This window comes from Homo sapiens, chromosome 17, assembly GCF_000001405.40.
Source record: "Homo sapiens chromosome 17, GRCh38.p14 Primary Assembly".
In the NCBI taxonomy this organism is placed as follows: Eukaryota; Metazoa; Chordata; class Mammalia; order Primates; family Hominidae; genus Homo; species Homo sapiens.
In genome coordinates, this window is record NC_000017.11 from 30,685,255 (window position 1) to 30,708,792 (window position 23,538).

A 23,538-nucleotide genomic window follows, 5' to 3' on the forward strand; every position below is an offset into this window, starting at 1 on the left:
TTCCTTCCCTTCTCTTCTGACAGAGTCTCACTCTGTCCCTCAGGCTGAAATGCAGTGGCACAATCTTGGCTCACTCCAACCCCCGCCTCCCAGGTTCAAGGAATTCTCCTGCCTCCTCCTGAGTAGCTGGCATTACAGGCATGAGCCACCACACCCGGCTAATTTTTGTATTTTTGGTAGAGACGGGGTTTCACCATGTTGGCCAGGTTGGTCTCGAACTCCTGGCCTCAAGTGATCCACCCACTTCGGCCACCCAAAGTGCTGGGATTACAGGCATGAAACACCATGCCCAGCCTTCTTTTCTTTTTGAGATGGGACCTTTTTCAGTGGCCCAGGCTGGAGTACAATGGCATGATCATAGCTCACTGCAGCCTCAAATTCTTAGGTCCAAGTGATCCTCTTGCCTCAGCCTCCCAAGTAGCTGGGACTAGAAGGCATGTGCCACCACGCCCAGCTAATTTTTAAAATTTTTTTTAGAGTTGGTGGTCTTGCTATGTTGTCCGGGCTGGTCCCAAACTCCTGGCCTCGAGCGATCCTCCTACCTTAGCCTCCCAAAGTGCTGGGATTATAGTTGTGAGCCACCATGCTCAGCCTAGCCCTGCCAAGATCCGTTTTCCATTCCCATGGCACTCAACACTCTCCTCAGAGCAGTTTCCACAATTGTAATTACCTAGTTTGGCAGAGTGATGTCTTAATGTTGCTCTCTCTGCTTCTAGAATGTGAGCCCCCAGAGAGGTCAGGGCCTGGGAGATTTATTCATTTACATATCCCACGCACCTAGTCAGGCATAGCACACAGTAAGTACTTAATATATGTGCCCAGGAGGTTTTCAAATGAATCCCTTTCGGCCAGGCACGGTGGCTCACGCCTGTAATCCCAGCACTTTGGGAGGCCAAGGTGGGTAGATCACTTGAGGTCAGGAGTTCACGATCAGCCCGGCCAATATGGCGAAACTCTGTCTCTACTAAAAATACAAAATTTAGCCGGGCATGCTGGCGGGCGCCTGTAATCCCAGCTACTCAGGAGGTTGAGGCAGGAGAATCGCTTGAACCAGGGATGTGGAGATTGCAGTGAGCTGGGATTGCACCACTGCACTCCAGCCTGGGCAATAGAGCAAGACTCAGTCTCAAAAAAAAAAAAAAAAAAAAAAAGGAATCCCTTTTGTCCAGGCAAGCGGGGTGCACTGGTTCTCTGACCAGCAATTCCCCAACTGGACGGGTCACTTGGTGTCCCAGTGGAATATTCGGGAATCTTCTCTGAGGCAACGGGACACACACACACACACACACACACACACACAGGCACAATCACACACAGACACACACAAAATGAACCCCCCCTCCTCAATTTCTTTACCAACTATTTTTCCCCCAGGCAGAAAATGAACCATTATTAAAACAACACGGCAACCGGCCGGGAAAACCCATTCACAGCGATTTATATCGCGTCGCCGCGGCTGCCGAAAGGAAATGGGAGGAGAAGCTCGAGGTTTAAGCGCTGGGTGAAAAATCACATTCCATCAGAGGAAGAACAGATGGGTGTTTTTTTCCTCCCCTTTCTCCCCCTTGCTTGGGCTCGGAGTCAGGAATCTATGTCAGCCGTGGGTTTGTTCTTGGTGTGATAGGGTGATTCTGGGGAGACAGAGGCCCAGCCAGGCTGCTGGGTCCCAGGGAGCAAGGGGTGGCTTGTGAGCCACTGAGGACCCCCGCTCCGCATCCTCCATCCTCCTCCCCACCGGCTCTGTCTCCTGGGCCTGTAGGCTGCCGATCTGAGCCCCATCCCCCATCCTGCTATTTTAATTTTTACATTTTCTCATCACCCCCTGGAATTACCGTCTCTCCTTATTTCCTTCCTCCTTCACAGTCTTTTTCCTTGAAGGCAGGGCCATGTCTGTCCTGTTCGTCGTTGCATCCTTAGTGCATTGAACACATAGCAGTGGCTCCCATATCTGCAGACAACCACTAACCCTCTGCCACATTCCCACCATCACGCCTGCCATCCTATCCTAACCTTACTAAGGACACCTTCCCCCACTCGCCGGCGGGCTGTGAGCGCGCTGGAAGACGGGGGCTGTTTAGTTTGTTTCCTTCATGGATGGATCTACTGTCCCTCCACCCCCAAAGAAAGCCTGATTCACAGCTTTCTGGGTGTTGGGATTGGGGGATGGGGACAGACAGGCATGACTGAGTCATTCAGCTGTTTAAAAGCTATCACTGACTTCTTCAAAATTGAAAAATGTTATCGTGGCTCCAACCTAGACCCAAAACACCTGTTCAGTTTAAACCACCCCACCCCCGCCCCGCGCCTGCCCCCACAAACATGCTGGCACCCGCCTAGGCACCACCTAGTCAAACCCCCTGGCCCATGTGGTCCCCAACTCACCCATGATGCTTTGCATCGCCTTCACCAAATGCCCCGCCCCTCCCTCTGTGTCCACCCCAGAGCTGAATCCAGCCCACAGATGTAATTGGCTTGGTCCATGCAGGGTTTAAAAACATTTTGTAATGACTTGCTAGCTCTTATTTATTTATTTATTTATTTATTTATTTATTTATTTATTTATTTTTGAGATGGAGTCCCGCTCTGTCGCCCAGGCTGGAGTGCAGTGGCGCGATCTCGGTTCACTGCAAGCTCTGCCTCGCGGGTTCACGCCATTCTCCTGCCTCAGCCTCCCTAGTAACTGGGACTACAGGCGCCTGCCACCACGCCCGGCTAATTTTTTGTATTTTTAGTAGATTCGGGGTTTCACCGTGTTAGCCAGGATGGTCTCGATCTACTGACCTCGTGATCCGTCCACCTCGGCCTCTCAAAGTGCTGGGATTACAGGCGTGAGCCACCGTGCCCGGCCCATGACTTGCTAGCTTTTAAATATAGGCTGCTTTTTCATTGTTGTTGTTGTTGTTGTTGTTTTAGAGATGGCGTCTCGCTGTGTCGCCCAGGCTGTAGTGCAGTGGTGTGATCTCTGCTCACTGCAAACCTCCGCCTCCTAGGTTCAAGCGATTCTCCTGCCTCAGCCTCCCAAGTAGCTGGGATCACAGGCGAAGGCCACCAGGCCCAGCTAATTTTTTTCTATTTTTAGTAGAGACAGGGTTTCACCATGTTGGTCAGGCGGCCTTGAGCTCTTGAACTCAAGTGATTCGCCCCCCTCAGCCTCCCAAAGTGCTGGGATTACAGGCTTGAGCCACCAGTGCCAGACCTCATGTGATTTTTGCATAAAAATCTGGATGCCTGACTTCTCCTAAAGACGAAACCTTGTCTGGGCGTGGTGGCTCATGCCTGTAATCCCAGCACTTTGGGAGGCCTAGATGGGCAGATCACCTGAGGTCAGGAGTTCGAGACCAGCCTGGCCAACATGGCGAAACCTTGTCTCTACTAAAAATGCAAAAATTAGCCAGGTGTGGTGGCACGTGCTTGTAATCCCAGCTACTCAGGAAGCTGAGGCAGGAGAATTGCTTGAACCTGGGAGACGGAGGTTGCAGTGAACCGAGATTGTGCTACTGCACTCCAACCTGGGCGACATAGCAAGACTCGTCTCAAAAAAAAAAAACAAAAAACAAAACAACCAAATTAACTGAATTAAATGAGCTCATGCTATATAAGGAACAGGCTTAGCAAGTGCTGATAAATGTTACTCATTCTTATCATTATTTGCCATAGTCTCAACCTTCCTTACTGTGTCCCTGACACTGAAGTTGTTCCATTGCTGGTGCAGTCAGTCTTTTTATCTTGGCTGCTTGGCATATTTATATTACCTACTGTCTGTCCCTGTAGGTTTGTGGCATGCTTCAGCTCAGTTCTGGGTCATCACCTCTGCTATAAAGAGGTTCCCCAGTCTGGGCACAGTGGCTCAAGCCTGTAATCTCAGCACTTTGGGAGGCCAAGACAGGAGGATCGCTTGAAGCCAGGAGCTCAAGACTAGCCTGGGCAACATAGTGACACCCCATCTCTACAAAAAATAAGTAAATAATTAGCTGTGCATGGTAGCATGTGCCTGTAGTCCCAGCTACTCGGGAGGCTGAGGCAGGAGGATCGCTTTAACCCAGGAGGTCGACTGCACCACTGCATTCTAGCCTAGGTGACGAAGAGAGGCCCTGTCTAAAAAAAAAAGAAAGAAAAAAAGGCTCTCTGGTCTTCCACCTCACTGCCCATCCGTTTCTCAACACTCCCCATTTTCGAGTTTCCCTCCCCCTCCACTGTACCGCGGGCCCCTCCAGATGCTTCATCAAGTGCTCGTGGAATTGGATATCAGGGCCTGTGTTCATTTCCTGGGGCTGCTGAAATACATTACCATAAACTAGGTGGCTGGAAACAACAAGAATTTATTATTTCACCATTCCGGAGGCCAGAGGTTGCAATCAGGGTGGTGCAGGGCTGCAATCCCTCCGAAAGCACTAGGTGAGGATTCGTCCTTTCTTCTTCCAGCCTCTGATGGTTCCTTGCTTGTGTCTGTACTGCTGCAAGCCCTGCCTGTCTTCACTTGGCCTTCTTCTCTGTGTCTAACCCCCTTCTCTTCTAAGGTCATTTATCATTGGATTTCGGGCCACCCTAATCCAGGATGATCTCATTGCAAAATCCTTAACTTAATTACATCTGCAAAAACGCTTTGTCCAAATAAGGTCACCGCTATGGTTTGAATGTCTGTGTCCCTTCCAAATCCATATGTTGGAAGAGTTGGGGTTCTTGGGAGGTGATTAGGCCAAGAGGGCCCCATTCTCATGGGTGAGATTATTGCCCTTATAATTGAGTGTGACAGTTTGGAGATTTCTCAAACAATTTAAAATTCTTCTATTTTATTTGACCCAGCAATCCCATTACTGGGTATATACTCAAAGGAATATAAATTGTTCTACTATAAAAACACATGCACATGTATGTTCGTCGCAGAACTATTCACAATAGCAAAGACTTGGAATCAGCCTAGGCACCCGTCAATGGAGGATTGGATAAAGAAAATGTGGTGCATATGCACCATGGAATACTATGCAGCCATTAAAAAAGAATGAGGCCGGGCATGGTGGCTCATGGCTGTAATCCCAGCATTTTCAGAGGCCAAGGTGGGTGGATCACTTGAGGCCAGGAGTTCGAGACCAGCCTGGCTAACATGGCAAAACCCCATCTCTACAAAAAAATACAAAAATTAGCGGGGTATGGTGGCAGGTGCCTGTAGTCCCAGCTACTCGAGGGGCTGAGGCAGGAGAATTGCTTGAACCTGGGAGGCGGAGGTTGCAGTGAGCCGAGGTCACGACACTGCACTTCAGCCTGGGTGACAGAATGAGACTGTCTCAAAAAAAAAAAAATAGAATGAGATCATATCCTTTGCAGCAATATGGATGGAGCTGGAGGCCATTCTCCTAAGCCAACTAATGCAGGAACAGAAAACCAAATACCACATGTTTTCACTTATAAGTGGTAGCTAAACACTGAGTACACATGGACACAAAGGTGAGAACAACAGGCCAGGCACGGTGGCTCACGCCTGTAATCCTAGCACTTTGGGAGGCTGAGGCAGGTGGATCACTTGAGGTCAGGAGTTCGAGACCAGCCTGGCCAACATGGTGAAACCCCATTTCCACTAAAAATACAAAAACTAGCCAGGCGTGCTGGCACATGCCTATAATCTCAGCTACTAGGGAGGCTGAGGCAGGAGTATCTCTTGAACCTGGAAGGCAGAGGTTGCAGTCAGCCGAAATTATGCCAGTGCACTCTACCCTGGGCAACGAAGCAAGACTCCGTCTCAAAAAAAGAAAAAAAAAAAAAAGATGGGAACAACAGACACTGGTGTCTGTTTGAGGGTGGAAGGTAAAAGGAGGGTCAGGATTGAAAAACTACCTGTTGGGTGTTATGGTGATTACCTGGGTGACAAAATTATCTGTATACCAAACTCCTGCAACACGTAATTTACCCAAATAAAAAACGTGGACATGTGCCCCTTGAACTTAAAACAAACATTGGAAAAATAAATAAATAAATAGGCCAGGCACAGTGGCATACGCCTGTAATCCCAGCAATTTGGGAGGCCGAGGCAGACGGATCACTTGAGCTCACTAGTTCGATACCAGCCTGGACAACATGACAAACCCCATCTCTACAAAAAATACAAAAATTGGCTGGGTGCGGTGGCTCACGCCTGTAATCTCTGCACTTTGGGAGGTCGAGGCGGGTGGATCACGAGGTCAGGAGATCAAGACCATCCTGGCCAACATGGTGAAACCCTGTCTCTATTAAAAATAGAGAAAATTAGCTAGGCATGGTGGCAGGTGCCTGTAATCCCAGCTACTCGGGAGGCTGAGGCAGGAGAATCGCTTGAACCTGGGAGGTGGAGGTTGCAGTGAGCTGAAATCACACCACTGTATTCCAGCCTGGTGACAGAGTGAGGCTCTGTCTGAAAAAAAAAAAAAAAAATCAGTTGGGTGTAGTGGTGCGCACCTGCAGTCCCAGCTGCTCCCTGGGAAGCTGAGGTGGGGGAATGGCTTGAGCCTGGGAGGTGGAGGTTGCAGTGAGCCGAGATCGCGCCACTGCACTCCAGCCTGGGTGATAAAACCAGATCTTGTCTCAAATAAACAAATAAATAAAATAAAAATAACTCGCTTGGCCAGGTGCGGTGGCTCACACCTATAATCCCAGCACTTTGCGAGGCTGAGGTGGGTGGATCACCTGAGGTCAGGAGTTCAAGAACAGCCTGGCCAACATGGCAAAACCCCATCTCTACTAAAAATACAAAAGTCAGCCAGGCATGGTGGCACACACCTGTAATCCCAGCTACTCAGGAGGCTGAGGCAGGAAAATCGCTTGAACCTGGGGGGTGGAGTGGGCTCTCACCAGACACCAAATCTGCTGGTGCCTTGATCTTGGACTTCCTGGCCTCCAGAACTGTAAGCAATACATTTCTACTGGCTGGGTGCAGTGGCTCACACATGCAATCCCAGCACTTTGGGAGGCCAAGGTGGGCAGATCACCTGAGGTCAGGAGTTCCAGACCAGCCTGGCCAACATGGCAAAACCTCGTCTCTACTAAAAGTACAAAAATTAGCTGGGCGTGGTGGCGGTTGCCTATAATCCCAGCTACTTGGGAGGTTGAGACAGGAGAATTGCTTGAATCCGGGAGACCGAGGTTGCAGCGAGCCAAGATCGCGTCACTGCACTCCAGCCTGGGTGACAGAGTGAGACTCTGCCTCAAAAAAAAAAGAAAAAGAAAAAATTCTATTACAGTTGACTTTTGAACAACATGGGCTTGAGCCATAACTGCCTGAGTCCCCTTGTAAGTGGATGTTCTTCCGCCTCTGCCACCCCTGAGACAGCCCCTCTTCTTCCTCTTCCTCCTCAGCCTATTCCATCGGAAGACTCGTGGATGAAGACGGTTATGATAATCCACTTCCACTTCATGAATAGTAAACACATTTTCTCTTTCTCATGATTTTCATAACATTTCTTTTCTCTAGCTTACTTTATTCTAAGAATATTGTGTGTAATATATAGAACATACAGAATACGAGTTCATGGATTGTTTATGTCATTGGTAAGGCTTTTGATCAACCATAGGCTATCAGTGGTTAAGTTTTTGGGAAGTCCAAAGTTATATGCAGGCCAGGTGCGGTGGCTCACGCCTATAATCCCAGCACTTTGTGAGGCTGAGGCAGGAGGATCACTTGAGCCAGGAGTTCAAGACCACCTTGGGCAACATAGCGAAACCCTATCTCTACAAAAAATATGAAAGTTAGCTGGGTGTGGTGGTGTGTGCCTGTGGTCCCAGCTACTCGGGAGGCCTTAACTTTCTTCTTTTTTGAGACGGAGTCTTGCTCTGTTGCCCAGGCTGGAATGCAGTGGCGCCATCTTGGCTCACTGCAAGCTCCGCCTCCCGGGTTCACACCATTCTCCTGCCTCAGCCTCCCGAGTAGCGGGGATTACAGGTGCCCGCCACCACGCCTGGCTAATTTTTGTACTTTTTGGTAGAGCAGAGTTTCACCATGTTGGCCAGGCTGGTCTCAAACTCCTGACCTCCAGTGATCTGCCTGCCTCAGCCTCCTAAAGTGCTGGGATTACAGGCATGAGCCACCGTGCCTCGCCTCCTTAATTTTCTTTCTGTCTCTCTTCACTCATTCAGTTTTTTATTTTATTTTATTATTTTTTGAGTGGAGTCTCGCTCTGTCGCCCAGGCTGGAGTGCAGTGGCACAATCTTGGGTCATTGCAACCTCTGCCTCCAGGGTTCAAGCAATTCTCCTGCCTCAGCATCCCGAGTAGTTGGGATTACAGGCACCTGCCGCCACACCCAGCTAATTTTTGTATTTTTAGTAGGGACAGTGTTTCACTATGTTGGCCAGGCTGGTCTCAAATTCCTGACGCCCGGTGATTCGCCTGCTTCAGCCTCCCAAAGTGCTAGGATTACAGGCGTTAGCCACTGCGCCCGGCCATCATTCAGTTTTTTGAAGCCAATGGAGACTCAGACCCTGCACCCCCAGCTGTGCCCCCAGAAGCCCGCTGTCTTCTCTCTTCCTTGCACCCACGGGAATGGCTCTCCCTCCAGGAGGGATGGGTAGGGGCAAATGCCACCCCGTCCGCCCTTTGTTACCAGGGAGGCCGAACCCACCTCTCTTCACACTGCAGAAGAACTCGGGTGGGCGCCCCCACTTTCCCGCAAGCTCGCAGAGAGCATCCTCCGCCCACCCGGCAAGCACCACTTCATCACGCCACCGCCAGGGTGTCAGGCGGGGCTGAGCGGTTGTCATTTCTCTCTAACCCGTCAGAACTCTGCACTTCCTTGACAGTTCGCTGGCTGGCCTCCGACCCGTAGCTGATTTCTTTCCAGGGCTGGCAGGTTGGGTTAAGAGGGAGCGCTCCCCTGAGCCGAGACTTACTTTCTTTTGCCTCCAAGTTGCTTCATCCCCCACCCTTCACCAAGAACGCCCACAACTCCTGGATGGTGCATTACCCTCCCACCCCTCCACCCCGTCCCCTTCCTTTCCCTCCATTCCCAAATGACGGCAGCCCTGGGGCCAAACTGGCCCCAGATGTGTTGTTTGGCCTGTATGGTTAACTCCTTGTTTTTAAAAAATTCCTTTTTAAAAAAAAATTAAAAAAAAATTTTAAATTCCTTTTTGGAATAAAATTCAGTTAACATAACACTCGTCATTTTATTGTATATTATTTTTAGAAACAGAATCTCTCTCTGTCTCCCCGGGCTGGAGTGCAGTGGTGCAATCATAGCTCACGGCAACCTCAAACTCCTGGGGTCAAGCGATCCTCCCACCTCAGCCTCCCAAGTAGCTGGGATTACAGGCAGGCTCCACGTTGCCCAGCTAATTAAAAAAAATTTTCGCCCGGCACTGTGGCTCACGCCTGTAATCCCAGCACTTTGGGAGACTGAGGTGGGTGGATCACCTGAGGTCAGGAGTTCGAGACCAGCCTGGCCAACATGGTGAAACCTTGTCTCTACTAAAAATACAAAAATCAGCCAGGTGTAGTGGCACGCGCCTGTAATCTCAGCTACTTGGGAGGCTGAGGCAGAAGAATCGCTTGAACCCGGGAGGCAGAGGTTGCAATGAGCCAAGATTGCACCACTGCACTCCAGCCTGGGCAACAGAGCAAGACTCTGTCTCAAAAAAAAAAAAAAATTTGTAGAGCTGGGGTCTTGCTATGTTGCCCAGGCCGGTCTCAAACTCCTGGGCTCAAGCAATCCTCCCACCTCTGCTTCTCAAAGTGTTTGTTAGGATTACAGGCATGAGCCACTGTGCCCAGCCAAGATTAATCGTACATTTTTTTGTTTTTGTTTTTTGAGACAGAGTCTTGCTGCGACACCCAGGCTGGAGTGCAGTGGTGTGATATTTGCTCATTGCAACCTCTGCCTCCTGGGTTCAAGTGATTCTCTTGCCTCAGCTTTCTGAGTAGCTGCGACTAGAGGTGTGCACCACCATGCCTGGCTAATTTTTGTATATTTAGTAGAGATAGGGTTTCACCATATTGGCCAGAATGGTCTTGAACTCCTGACCTCAAGTGATCTGCCCGCCTCGGCCTCCCAAAGTGCTGGGATTACAGGCATGAGTCACTGTGCCTGGCCCCAATTGTACATTTTAAAATGTACAATTCACTGGACTTTTGTATACTAAAAGAGTTGTGCAACTATCACGTCTAATTACAGAACATTTCCATCACCCCCAAAAGAAGCCCTATCCCCACTAGCAGTCAATCTCCATTCCCCATCCCCCATCCCCTGGCAATCACCAATCTGTTTCTGTCTCTATGTGTTTATCTGTTTTGGGCATTTCATATAAAGGAAATTATATACTATGTGACCCTCTGTGTCTGGCTTCTTTCACTTTTCCAAATGTTTTCAAGGGTCATCCATGTTGTAGAGTTAATGCCTTTATGGTGAAACACATAAATCTTAGGGGCACAGGTCTGTGGATTTTTGAAATACATTTCACCCTTATCACTGTCACCTAGTTCAAGATCAAGAACATTCCAGTCTCCCAGGAGGCTCCCTGGGCTATTTTCCAGGAAGTGGGCTGCCTCAAAACATCACTAAGCCAGTGGCTTTTTTTTTTTTTTTTTTTTTTGAGATGTAGTCTTGCTCTGTTACCCAGGCTGGAGTGCAGTGGTGCTATGTTTGCTCACTGCAACCTCTGCCTCCTGGGTTCAAGCGATTCTCCTGCCTCAGCCTCCCACGTAGCTGGGACTATAAGCACACACCACCACGTCTGGCTAATTTGTTTGTATTTTTAGTAGAGACAGGGTTTCACCATGTTGGCCAGGCTGGTCTTGAACTCCTGGCCTCAAGTGATCCACCTGCCTTGGCCTCCCAAAGTGCTGGGATTACAGGTGTAAGCCACCACGCCTGGACCAGTGGCTCCCATCTGATGGTGATTATGCCCCTAACAACAGACATTTGTCACAACTGGGGGGTGCTGCTGGTATGTAATGGTTGGAGGCCAGGGATTCTGCTCAACATCCTACAGTGCACAGGACAGCCCCCATCAAGCAGAATCATTTAGCCACAAATGTCAATGAGGCCGAAGTTAGGAAAACCTGGGCTTCCCCAACTCTTTTCATAGGTTACTTCTGCCTGGCCTTGAACAATACAGGAATGAAATCACTCAGGGTATTCTCTTTGTTATCTTGCTTCTCCTACTGAACATTATGTCTCTGGTATTCATCCATGCTGTGAATGCATCAGTAGTTTATTCTTTTTCATTGCTGCGTTATATTCCATTATATGAATGTCCTCCCATTTCTTTTCCATTTGCCAGTCGATGGTCAACTTAAGGGGTGTCTGGTGTTTGGCGATCATGAATGAAGCTGCTAGGCACATCCATGGATGTGTCTTTAGGTGAACCTAAGCTCCTGTTCCCACTGGGAATCAACCCAGGAATGGAATTGCTGGGTCGTAGCAATTTAACTTTAGTAGATCCCCATGGGATATTTAAAGCTCAGGGAATTTTGTGCAACAACTGTGATTTCTGGCTTCTCTTGAAGAAGCTATTCTGGCAACATTGAGCCTGAGTTCCCACGTGGTAGCGCACAGCTGGAGCTGAGTGGTAGCAAGCGGGTGCCCATGGAAAAGGGGGGGGTGGTGCAACTTCAGCTACCCTGTCCTTCACCACTGCCTCACACCTGCCCAAATTCTGCATTTTCATTCCCTGGTCAGCATTTGGCTTTGTGTCCCCTGAAATGAGCTCATGCAAGGTTAGGAGTCACCTTCTACCTTCCCATGGCCATCACCTCTACCTCTCTGGGACCCACCTATAACCCCTCACTCCTATTCCCAACCCCCTTCCCAACCTATCTCCATTCCACAGAGCCTGCAAGCCCCCACATCCACCTTAATCCCAAACACAGGATCCCTTTAGAGCTGGCAGGCATTTCTGGGTTGCCGCAGACCCCACCACTCCCTATCACACTATTGCAGCTTGGATACTGCCGGCTTTTTTCTTGGTAACAGCCTCAGAGCCTCCATATGAGTGGTCGTCTCTGCCCAGATCACCATGAGGGGGACTGCTATTTAAAGCCAGCAGGTCCCTGCCTCAGTTTACCTGTCACTTCCCCAGGGCTGGGAAGCCTTCTTTGTGCCGGGACTGGCCAGTGCCGGGACTGGATCTGTCTCATTCATTGCTGTTTTACCACTCAATTCATTACACAATGAATCCTGGCCCTGAGGCTTGAAGGAGAGAGAGGCAGAGTCAGTGCCAGGTTGAATAAGCCACTTACTGGCCACACGTTCTGCAGAAGCTAGCTGGTGAACTTGCCAGGCACATCGCACTCCTCAAAGGGGGAGTCCCTCCCCGTTGCTGGTCCGAGGGATCTGGGTCTGAGAAATCCCTCTTCCTCCCCAGAACACACTGGCCAAGTCCAAGTCCAGCAAAGCTTAGGGCTTCTTCCCTGGGATCCTCAACCCCACAGGCCAATCCCACCCCTCAATCGTCCCGGTCTTTTCCATGCATGGTCCAAATTTCCTCCAGTGGAGCCACCAGGGCAAGGCCTTCCGCCTGCCAGACTTTCCCGGACTCCCCAGTTTATCACCCATCTTCCCGCACCTCCCTCAACCCTCCGCTCCTCTCTCCCTAACACCGGGCTGTCTCCTCACCTTCTCACACCTCCCAACCTCCCTACGCATTTTTCCCTTCCTTTAAGCAGTCCCCATCTCAAACACGCTCAGCTCTCTCCCTTCACCCCCACTTTGTCCCCTCACACCCCAACTCCCCCAGCTCTGCGCTCTTCACCCCCCTCCCTTCCCCGGGCTGCCCCTCCTGAGCACCTGGGAAGAAGAGGCGGGGCCCCCTCACCTGGCGGCCGCAGAGCAGCGGGGAAACGGCCCCTAGCGGCCGGGGAAGGAAGCGCAGCCCAGCCGGGCTCCCCTTCCAGCTGGTGCCTAACTAGGAATCCGCCTCCACTTAAACGCCCGCCTGCTGCTCAGGCTGGAACCCGGCGGCTTCCGGGATTCTCGCTTTCCTCCACTCCCCCGCTTTCTCCTGAGCGCCTACTGTGTGCCAGGATCTGTCCTAGGCTCCGGGTAGACAGCAGTGAACAAGAAACAAACATCCCTGGACTGGGGAGTTGGTATTCTAGTGAGGGAGATAGATAAATGAATGAAAACGAAACTAGGTCAGGATATGCTGTGGGGACTAGGAGTTCGAGACCAGCCTGGACAACATAGTGAGACCCCCCCCCCCCCAGTCTCTGGGACTGGAGAGAGATAAAGGGGAGAGGAGATCAAGGGAGTGAGGAGGGTGGGGGTGTTTGCAGTTTTCTTTTTTCTTTTTTTTGAGACAGAGTCTTGCTCTGTCGCCCAGGCTGGAGTGCAGAGGTGTGATCTCGGCTCACTGCAACCTCCACCTCCCGGGTTAGAGCGACTCTTGTGCCTCAGCCTCCTAAGTAGCCGGGATTACAGGCATGTGCCACCACACCCAGCTAATTTTTGTGTTTTGCATTTTCTTTTCTTTTTTCTTTTTTCTTTTTTTTTGTGACGGAGTCTCGCTCTGTCGCTCAGGCTGGAGTGCAGTGGCATGATCTCTGCTCACTGCAAGCTCCACCTCCCGGGTTCACGCCATTCTCCTGCCTCAGCCTCCCTAGTAGCTGGGACTACAGGCGCCCACCACCACGCCTGGCTAATTTTTTGTATTTTTAGTAGAGACGGGGTTTCACCGTGTTAGCCAGGATGGTCTCGAGCTCCTGACCTCGTGGTCTGCCCGCCTCGGCCTCCCAAAGTGCTGGGATTACAGGCGTGAGCCACCGCGCCCGGTCCTGTGTTTTGCATTTTCAATAGAGTGGTCAGGAGGTAACATATAAGCAGAGTTCAAGGAGGGTGCAAAGTAAGGGGTCCTGTTGACTCTGCCCCTAAGACATGCCGAAAACCTAACGTTTTCCCCCAGCATCCCGTTCTGGGCCTCCATCACCTGCCTCTCACCTGCATGACAGTGGTGATCACCTCACGAATCTCCTGGGTCCCTCTCAAATTGACTATATAATTTATTTATTTAGAGACCAGGTCTCGCTATGCTGCCCAGGCTGGTCTCGAACTCCTGGGCTCAAGCGATCCTCCCGCCTTGACCTCCCAAAGTGCTAGGATTACAGGCATGAGTCACTGCGCCCGGCTGACCTGTATAATTAAAAAATAATAATAATCTATAAATAATATATATTTTTTAAGAGATAGGAGTATCGCTCGGTCACCCAGGCTGGAGTGCAGTGTTGCAGTCATAGCTCACTGCAGTCTCTAACTCCCAGGCTCAAGTGATCCTCCCACTTCAGCCTCCCAGGTAACTGGGATTACAGGAGCACACCAGCATTCCTATCATTTTCTTTCCTTCCTTCCTCCCTTCCTTCTTATCTTCCTTCCTTCCTTTTTTTTTTTTTTTTTTTTGGCATCTCACTCTATTGCCCAGGCTGGACTGCAGTGGTGCGATCTCAGCTCACTGCAACCTCTGCCCCTGGGTTCAAGTGATTCTCCTGCCTCAGCCTCTGGAGTACCTGGGACTATGGGCACGTGCCACCACGCCCGGCTTTTTTTGTATTTTTAGTAGAGATGGGGTTTCTCCGTGTTGGCCAGGCTGGTCTCAAACTCCTGGCCTCAAATGATTTGCCAGCCTCTATCTCCCAAAGTGCCAGGATTACAGGTGTAAGACACCGTGCCCCGGCCCCTAGCATTTTTTTTTTTTTTGAGGCAGTCTCACTCTGTTGCCCAGTTTGGAGTGCAGTGGCACAATCTTGGGTCACTGCAACCTCTGCTTCCTGGGTTCAAGCGATTCTCCTGCCTCAGCCTCCCGAGTAGCTGGGATTGCAGGCGCCCGCCACCACGCTGTAGGGGTGGGTTGCCCCTCCACACCTGTGGGTGTTTCTCGTAAGGTGGGACGAGAGATTTGGAAAAGAAAAAGACACAGAGACAAAGTATAGAGAAAGAAATAAGGGGACCCGGGGAACCAGCGTTCAGCATATGGAGGATCCCGCCAGCCTCTGAGTTCCCTTAGTATTTATTCATCATTTGTGGGTGTTTCTCGAAGAGGGGGATGTGTCAGGGTCACAAGACAATTGTGGGGAGAGGGTCAGCAGACAAACACGTGAACAAAGGTCTTTGCATCATAGACAATGTAAAGGATTAAGTGCTGTGCTTTTAGATATGCATACACATAAACATCTCAATGCTTTACAAAGTAGTATTGCTGCCCGCAGGTCCCACCTCCAGCCCTAAGGCGGTTTTTCCCTATCTCAGTAGATGGAGCATACAATCGGGTTTTATACCGAGACATTCCATTGCCCAGGGACAGGCAGGAGACAGATGCCTTCCTCTTGTCTCGACTGCAAGAGGCATTCCTTCCTCTTTTACTAATCCTCCTCAGCACAGACCCTTTACGGGTGTCGGGCTGGGGGACGGTCAGGTCTTTCCCTTCCCACGAGGCCATATTTCAGACTATCACATGGGGAGAAACCTTGGACAATACCTGGCTTTCCTAGGCAGAGGTCCCTGCGGCCTTCCGCAGTTTTTGTGTCCCTGGGTACTTGAGATTAGGGAGTGGTGATGACTCTTAAGGAGCATGCTGCCTTCAAGCATCTGTTTAACAAAGCACATCTTGCACCGCCCTTAATCCATTTAACTCTGAGTTGACACAGCACACGTTTCAGAGAGCACGGGGTTGGGGGTAAGGTTATAGATTAACAGAATCTCAAGGCAGAAGAATTTTTCTTAGTACATAACAAAATGGAGTCTCCTATGTCTACTTCTTTCTACACAGACACAGTAACAATCTGATCTCTCTTGCTTTTCCCCACACACGCCCGGCTGATTTTTGTAGTTTTAGTGGAGACGGTGTTTCAGCATCTTGGCCAGGCTGGTCTTGAACTCCTGACCTTGTGATCCACCCGCCTCGGCCTCCCAAAGTACTGGGATTACAGGCGTGAGCCACCGTGACTGCCGGCCACCATTTTTAATTGAGCTAAAATTCCCACAACAAAAAATTAACCACCAACCATTTTAAGGTGGACGATGTCATGTCATGTCATAGTACATTCATCATGTCTAGTTCCAAGACATTTTTCATCATCCCCTTAAGAAAACTCACACCCGTTAGCAGTCACTCCCCATTCCCTCCTCCCCCAGCCCTGGGCCACCCCTCATCCGCTTTCTGTCTCTCTGGATTTGCCTGTTCTGGACATTTCATATAAATTTCATATAAATAGAACATATAATGGTACACTATGGGAACTTTTGTGCCTGGCTTCTTTTGAGCATGGTGTTTTCAAGTTTCATCCCTGTTGTAGTGTGTACCAGGACATCTTTCCTTTTAATGGTTGGAAAATATTCCATTGTATGAATATACATTTTGTTTATCTGTTCATCTACTGATAAACATTTGGATTGTTTTCACGTTTTTACTATGGTGAGTAGTGCTGCTAGGAACATCTACATACAAGTATCTGTTTAGGAGGCTGTTTTCAATTCTTTCGGTTATACTTAGGAGAGAAATTGCTGAATCATACAGCATTTTTTTTTTTTTTGAGACAGGGTCTTGCTCTGCCGCCCAGGCTGGAGTGCAGTGGTGCAATCATAGCTCACTGCAGCCTCGACCTCCCAGGCTCAAATGATCCTCCCATTTCAGCCCCCGATCCTGAGTAGCTGGGACTATAGGTGCAAGCCACCCTGCCCAGGTAATGTTTGTATATTTTGTAGAAACCGTGTCTCACTATGTTGCCCAAGCTGGTCTTGAACTCCTGGACTGAAACGAACCTCCCATCTTGGCCTCCCAAAGTGCTGGGATTACAGGCGTGAGACACCGTGCCCTGCCTCATATAGTAATTCTGTGTTATAGTTATTGAGGGAGCACTCATATAATCTTTTATTTTATTTATTTATTTATTTATTTTTATTTATTTGTTTTTTTGAGACAGAGTCTGGCTCTGTTGCCCAGGCTGGAGTGCAGTGACATGATCTTGGCTCACTGCAAGCTCCGCCTCCTCGGTTCACACTATTCTCCTGCCTCAGCCTCCCGAGTAGCTGGGACTACAGGTGCCCACCACCACGCCCGGCTAATTTTTTGTATTTTTAGTAGAGACGGGGTTTCACTGTGTTAGCCAGGATGGTTTCGATCTCCTGACCTCGTGATCCACCCGCCTCGGCCTCCCAAAGTGCTGGGATTACAGGTGTGAGCCACCGTGCCTGGCCTATTTTATTTATTCTTATTTTAACATTTTGTTTTAGAGACAGGGTTGGGGGGTTTTAGAGAGGATAGGTTGGGGGCGGGGAATAATTCCAACTGTGGTCTTTTTCTTTTCTCACCCTGTTGCCCAGGCTGGAGTGCAGTGGCTATTCACAGACGTGATTCCACTACTGATCAACACAGGAGTTTTAACCTGCTGTGTTTCCAACCTGGGCCAGTTGACTCTTCCTTAGGCAACCTGGTGGTCCCCTGCTCTTGGGGGGTCACCACATTGACGTTGATGGTCATGGCACACACCACCTCCCGGAAGTCCTAGGATCAAGCCTGTGTGCGTGAATCCTCCTGCCTCAGCTAGGATACAGGATCACACCACCAAGCCCAGCCCTATAATCTTTTAAACATCCAAATAAGATCATGCCACCCACTTCTGAAAGCCCTCTTGGGGTTCCTAGTATCACTGGGAATATAATCTAGACCCTCTCCTGGCCTCCCACCATGCTAGCCTAGCCCTGGTGCCTTTCAAATAGTCCTGCCTAGCTAGGCGCAGTGGCTCACACCTGTAATGCCAGCATTTTGGGAGACCGAGGCGGGAGGATCGCTTGAGCCTGGGAGTTTGAGAACAGCCTGGGCAACATTGTGGAACTCTGTCTCTACAAAAATACAAAATTAGCCAGGCATGGTGGCATACGCCTGTTGTCCCAGCTACTCAGGAGGCTGAGGCAGGAGACTTGCTTGAACATAGGAAACAGGTTGCAGTGAGCTGAGATTGAGCCATTACACTCCAGCCTGGACAACAGAGTGAGAAAAGAAAAAGACCACAGTTGGAATTATTCCCCTTCCCCACCCTATCCTCCCAGCCCAAATCCGGGACCCGGCTCGGAACCTAACTTTTTTTTTTTTAGACGGAGTCTTGCTCTGTCTCCAGGCTGGATTGCAGTGGTGCGATCTTGGCTCACCACAACCTCCAGCTCCCGGATTCAAGTGATTCTCCTGCCTCAGCCTCCCAAGTAGCTGGGATTACAGGCACGCGCCACCATGCCTGGCTAATTTTGTATTTTTAGTACAGACAGGGTTTCTCCATGTTTGTCAGGCTGGTCTCGAACTCCCAACCTCTGGTGATCTGCCCACCTCGGCCTCCCAAAGTAATGGGATTACAGACGTGAGCCACTGCACCCGGCCTATAACTACATTTTTTAACTACTTGGGCATGTTCTGGAGCCTTCGTTGCCCCTTCTGTAAGATGGGGAGAAAGTCCCCCACCCACAGAGTTACCATAAAGTATAAATGAGAGCATTCGTGCTCATTTGAGCCATTTCTCGGCCAGCCTGAACCTCTCCCCGGGCACCAACTTCATGCCTCCACTTGGACATATCAAACCAAAGGCTTGGATCTAACCTACAAAACTGCCCCCTCTCCATCCTCTCCATCCTTCCAGGGGCTCACTCAGCTCACAAATTTTGACTTACCTCTTTCCCTCGTATCCCACTTCCAATCCATCTGCTCCACCTTCAAAATATACCCCCTGAGGACGGGCGCGGTGGCTCACGCCTGTAATCCCAGCACTTTGGGAGACTGAGGTGGGCAGATCATCTGAGGATGGGAGTTCAAGACCAGCCTGACCAACACGGAGAAACCCCGTCTCTACTAAAAATACAAAATTAGCTGGGCGTGGTGGTGTGTGCCTGTAATCCCAGCTACTCCGGAGGCTGAGGCAGGATAATGGCTTGAACCCGGGAGGTGGAGGTTGTGGTAAGCTGAGATCACACCATTGCACTCCAGCCTGGGCAACAAGAGTGAAACTGCGTCTCAAACAAAACAAAACAAAAAACAAACAACAAAAAAACCTGGCTGGGTGCAGTGGCTCATTTCTGTAATCCCAGCACTTTGGGAGGCTGAGGCGGGCAGATCATTTGAGGTCAGGAGTTCAAGACCGGCCTGGCCAACATGGTGAAACCCTGTTTCTACTGAAAAAAAAAAAAAAAATCAAAAATTAGCCTGGCATGGAGGCGCATTCCTGTAATCCCAGCTACTTGGGAGGCTGAAGTAGGAGAATCAATTGAATCTGGGAGGCAGAGGTTGCACTGAGTCGAGATCATGCTACTGCACTCCAGCCTGGATGACACAGAGTGAGACTCCATCTCAAAAAAAAAAAATAAAAATAAAATAAAATAAAATAAAATAAAAGAACACAGTTGGAATTACTCCCTGCCCCCAACCTATCCTCCTAGCCCAATTCTGGGACCTCTTCATCTTGCCCTCCACTTGGCTTGGCAGTGGGGGTGGAACTGAATGGAGCTCAGAAATCGCCCAAGGTTGGCCTGCCACCACGGCTCACACCTGTAATCCCAGCCCTTTGGGAGACTTAGGAAGGAGGATCATTTGAGTCCGGGAGTTTGAGACCAGTCTGGGCAACATAGCAAGCTATGAAAAAAAAAAATACAAAAATTAGCTGGGTGTGGTGGCTCGTGCAGTGAGCTGCAGTGAGCTATGATTTCATCACTGCACTCCAACCTGGGCGACAGAAAGAGACCCTGTCTCCAAAAATAAATAAATAGTGTGGCGCGGTAGCTCACGCCTGTAGTCCTAACATTTTGGGAGGCCGAGGTGGGCGGATCACTTGAGGTCAGGAGTTCGAGACCAGCCTAGCCAACATGGTGAAACCCTGTCCCTACTAAAAATATGAAACTTAGCCGGAAATCACTTGAACCCGGGAGAGGGAGGTTGCAGTGAGCAGAGATCGTGCCACTGCACTCCAGCCTGGGCAACAGAGCGAGACTCCTCAAAATAAATAAATAAATAAAAATATAAATAAATAAATAAAAGAAGTTGCCTAAGATGGGGGTACAGGGAGCCTCTGGAAAGGCCAGGGACACACAAAACTTCACCCACACCTCAAGGCTTGGATAGGTCCATCCTCCACTCCCTGGCACCTGCTGACTTTCCAGGGCTCATTCCATCACACATTCTGTGTCCATCTTCTCCATGACGAAGGAAGCGCCCAGAGAAGGCTCCCTGCCTTGTTCCCTGTGCACTGGAGGCACATCCTCAATGCATCACACTGCACCTGACAGGTAAGGGCATATAAGGTGCGTGCTGTGTGTTTGAGGCGTAAATGGAAGGAATGAATACGTGCACGGAGCAGTGAAATGAACAGCAGGGTTGTGCATCCTATACCGAGTGGGCTCTAGGAAAACACGGGCTGGGGGCGCCTGGTGGGCAGTGGCTGTCTGGCGTTGCGCTGACCTGTCCAGGAGCCTGAGGCAGGGCACCCGGGAACGAGGGCGCTGGGCCTGAGGCAAAGGGAAGCTGAGCACTGGGGCGAAGCAGAGCCTTCAGGACTGTGAGGTTGGGGGCCCAACCGAGGCAGTGGGCGCAATACATGGAAGGCACAGAGAGGGGACAGACAAGGCATAGGCGAGCCCAGCTGTGTCTGACGCTGGGATGCTGGAGGTGCTAGGCGTACAAAATGTGGGGTCCCAGATACGCAGGAGAACACAGGGTGCCCTAGGCATAGGGCACCCTGGGCGTGCGGGTTCTATAGCACAGGGTGCACAGAAGATGGGGCGTCCAGGTGCAGGGTTCATAGAACATGGGGTACTCGAGGCGCGTGGCACCGTGGGCGTGGAGGTCCCGTGGGACGGAATACACAGAGCGTGGGGTGTCTCAGGCGCGGGGCTCATGGGAATCCCAAGGCGCAAGGTGGGAGGCTGGAAGCGAGGAGCGCCCTGGGAGCAGGGTGTCCGAAGCGCGGGTACCGATCTGGGCAGCGCGGGGCACGCGGCGCGCGGGCGAGTCTGCGTGCGCGCGCGGACGCCTTGGTTCCCGGAGCCCAGTTGCTGGCGCGGCCTCCACTGCGGCTGCGAAGCCGAAGGTCTGAGGTGCGCCAGGGCTCTTTACGCGGCCCCCAGCCTCTCCGCACCCTTTGTCTCCTGAGCACGCCGCTCACAAGTCCAGGAGACATGGATCAGATGGAGGCTGGAGAGCCGATCCCAGCTGGGACCAGTGGGGTTTAGAGGGTCTAGAAAGGGGTGAGGGGCGAGGGTGAGGGGGTTCTGGCTGGGGTTTTCCAAACTGAGCTGAGGGTGCCTTAAAGAATGTCGTTGCTTTCCCTCATATAAGTAAAGGCCACTCCTTCTCGTAGCCTCTGGAGAGTGCAAGTTAGAACCACCTCCTAGGCTAGCTCTGTAGGGGGAAGTGGGTGGGCTGCTCAGGGCTGGAGGGTGGGGTGGGGACAAAGGCCTGGAGCAAGAGAACAAGGAGGTGACAAGCTTTTCCTGAGCGTCAAGTTCTGTTCCCTTTTCGGTACTGCTAGGTTTATAGAAAGCTGGCTGCCTGGAGTGCCCTCCATCTCAAAGCCTTCATGGGTCTTACTTGCTACTGTCAGTATCTCAAACTGGGAAATTGAGGCGTAGAGAGATGGGATGCCCTCCTCCATACCCAGTGGGTCTGCAGTCAACCACAGATGGATGGGATCTGTTTTGCACTCACCAACTCCTACTTTATACCCCTTTGGTCCCCCAGATCCAGGTGTCCAGCCTGGCCACCCAGATTCAAGGCTGGACAGCTCTGCAGCCATGAAATCCTGGGCATGAAGGAGGAACGAAAGTGACCCATCCCTCCATTTTGAAGTTCTCTGGGGCCAGATTTGCCTAGGTTCTGGCTTTCAAGAATCCCTTCCCAGTCATGAAAAGACAGCTGTCCATAGAAGGCGGTGGAGGGTGACAGGCTGCCACAGCTGTGGTGCGTGGTCACCTGGGCAGCCTGGAAGTCTGGTGTCCCTGCCCTTCCTCCAGTTTAGCCACAGCGACGTGCTTCTAGGAAGGGATTCTTAGAGGCCAAGTTAATTCCCGTGCAGCCTATCAATTCAGGCTTTCTTAGATACTCATTTTTCCCATCCAGATATGCCTCAAGTTTTGTGGATTTACCACTCCTACTCAGGAACCCTTTTCCCTTTCCTCATTCATTCTGCAAAGCGCCTGGTTAGCAATGCACTCTCTTCCCTGGACATGTAGGGAATGGGGGTTTCCCCCATCCCCATCCTCAGCCCGTCCCCCTCCTCTAAAACTCAGATCAGGGTTTGTCTGCCCTGCTGCTAAGATGCAGCCCAACTTTGAACTTTGAGCTGTCTGCTTTAACATTTGGGCCTCACTTGAATGGATTCCCTTCCCTGAGGATTCCAAGCCCTCCCCAGCCATCAGTCTTCCCATCTTTCATAAAATGGAGCCAGCAGCCCCGCTTCAGGGACTCCCCCCTCCCCCTGTTCCCTCTACGCCAGGATTCTTCCCCCGACTTCCATTTCCCTCCAGCCCCCACCCTGCACAAAGTTGCCTGTTCTGCCGAAGTGCCTATTTTTGGCTTGGGGCCCAGTTTTATAGCCCCAGCTATAGGTCTTGGCAGTCACAACTTTCGCTCTCCAGACAGCCAAGCCGGGTCCAACAGCCTTCCCCACCCCAGAGAGGGGGTGCGGGGGCTCCCTCTGCAGCCTCAACCCGAAACCTGCCCCTCGCCTTACTTGGTCTGATGCCTGGGAACCCAAGCCTGCTTCTTGCCCTACTTCTTAGAGTCCACCAGCTGCAATGGAGTTGTTAGGTGTTGAAAATCCATGCCGGGTTTTTACTCTTTCAGAGAACATAAAATTCAATTTTTCTCCTCGCACCCCCTCCCCAAAAGCAAGACTTTGAGGCGTTTATAGATACAAACCTTCCCCTAACGCTTCCCTCCGCCCCTGCTACCCGGTCAGCTCCAAGCCCCTGTCCCGGTGGCCCAGGATCTTCTGCTAAGGGTCTCATTCCGTCCCGCGCTCCAGTCCTGGCTTGGCGTGCCTCCCTCGCCTTTTATTGTAGGTCTGGTCTCCCAGGGTAGCGGCCTCATCGCATTCCCTTCGCAGCGCCCCTGGATCCAGAAACCGCTTTTACCTGTCCGCTCCGGTGCAGCCAGCACGCCGAATCCCGTCGTACCCGAGTCCAGCCCTCCTTTTGCCCCTCCCCCTTGCACGTCGCTGCCAGGAAGATGAGGGCAGCCCAAGTCGCCTCAGCCACTAAGCATCCCCCTTCCAGAACTCCCCCCATGCGAACCCAGGTCCCGGGAGTTCCGGGCTGGGTCTTGCTTGTTTTCACTGCGTTAGGCCTGACGCATTACTCCGTCTCCCAAGAAAGAATCCGGCCCGAAATTTGCGTGCCCCGGGTGCGTTTGGCCATGTCGCATCTACCCCCCAACCCCCCGCTCCAACACCGTTTCTCCCATCTTTATCTAATCCAACTCGGGTTTTGCACAACCCTTCCAGATCTCCCCATTTGCGCCCTCCTTCCCCGGGCTCGGCGCCTTTCCTTTTACTTCACTGGAAAATCCGCTCCGGGTCTTCCTTACGCCTGTCTCCCTTCCCCGACTCCCCGCTCCAACG

General features: G+C 51.0%; 1 long non-coding RNA gene and 1 pseudogene across 1 annotated transcript in view, besides 3 other annotated features; one reads left to right on the top strand and one right to left on the bottom strand.

Moving 5' to 3' along the window:
* Window positions 1-20,211, top strand: part of LOC105371723 (uncharacterized) — a 58,422-nt gene extending 38,211 nt beyond the window's left edge. The window contains exon 4 of the long non-coding RNA XR_001753096.2: window positions 20,084-20,211. This is a non-coding gene — a long non-coding RNA (uncharacterized LOC105371723). The remainder of the gene's footprint in view (window positions 1-20,083) is intronic.
* Window positions 14,149-15,122: an enhancer, noted in NCBI's record as "OCT4-NANOG-H3K27ac-H3K4me1 hESC enhancer chr17:29026421-29027394 (GRCh37/hg19 assembly coordinates)". NCBI's record gives its function as "activates a minimal SCP1, AML or CMV promoter by ChIP-STARR-seq in naive H9 embryonic stem cells {active_cell/tissue: H9 hESC(naive)}" and the evidence as "EXISTENCE:reporter gene assay evidence [ECO:0000049][PMID:30033119]".
* Window positions 15,123-16,096: an enhancer, noted in NCBI's record as "OCT4-NANOG-H3K27ac hESC enhancer chr17:29027395-29028368 (GRCh37/hg19 assembly coordinates)". NCBI's record gives its function as "activates a minimal SCP1, AML or CMV promoter by ChIP-STARR-seq in naive H9 embryonic stem cells {active_cell/tissue: H9 hESC(naive)}" and the evidence as "EXISTENCE:reporter gene assay evidence [ECO:0000049][PMID:30033119]".
* Window positions 17,250-17,521, bottom strand: RN7SL316P (RNA, 7SL, cytoplasmic 316, pseudogene; annotated as a pseudogene).
* Window positions 23,340-23,389: an enhancer, noted in NCBI's record as "active region_12000". NCBI's record gives its function as "activates an Ori minimal core promoter by ATAC-STARR-seq in GM12878 lymphoblastoid cells {active_cell/tissue: GM12878}" and the evidence as "EXISTENCE:reporter gene assay evidence [ECO:0000049][PMID:35858748]".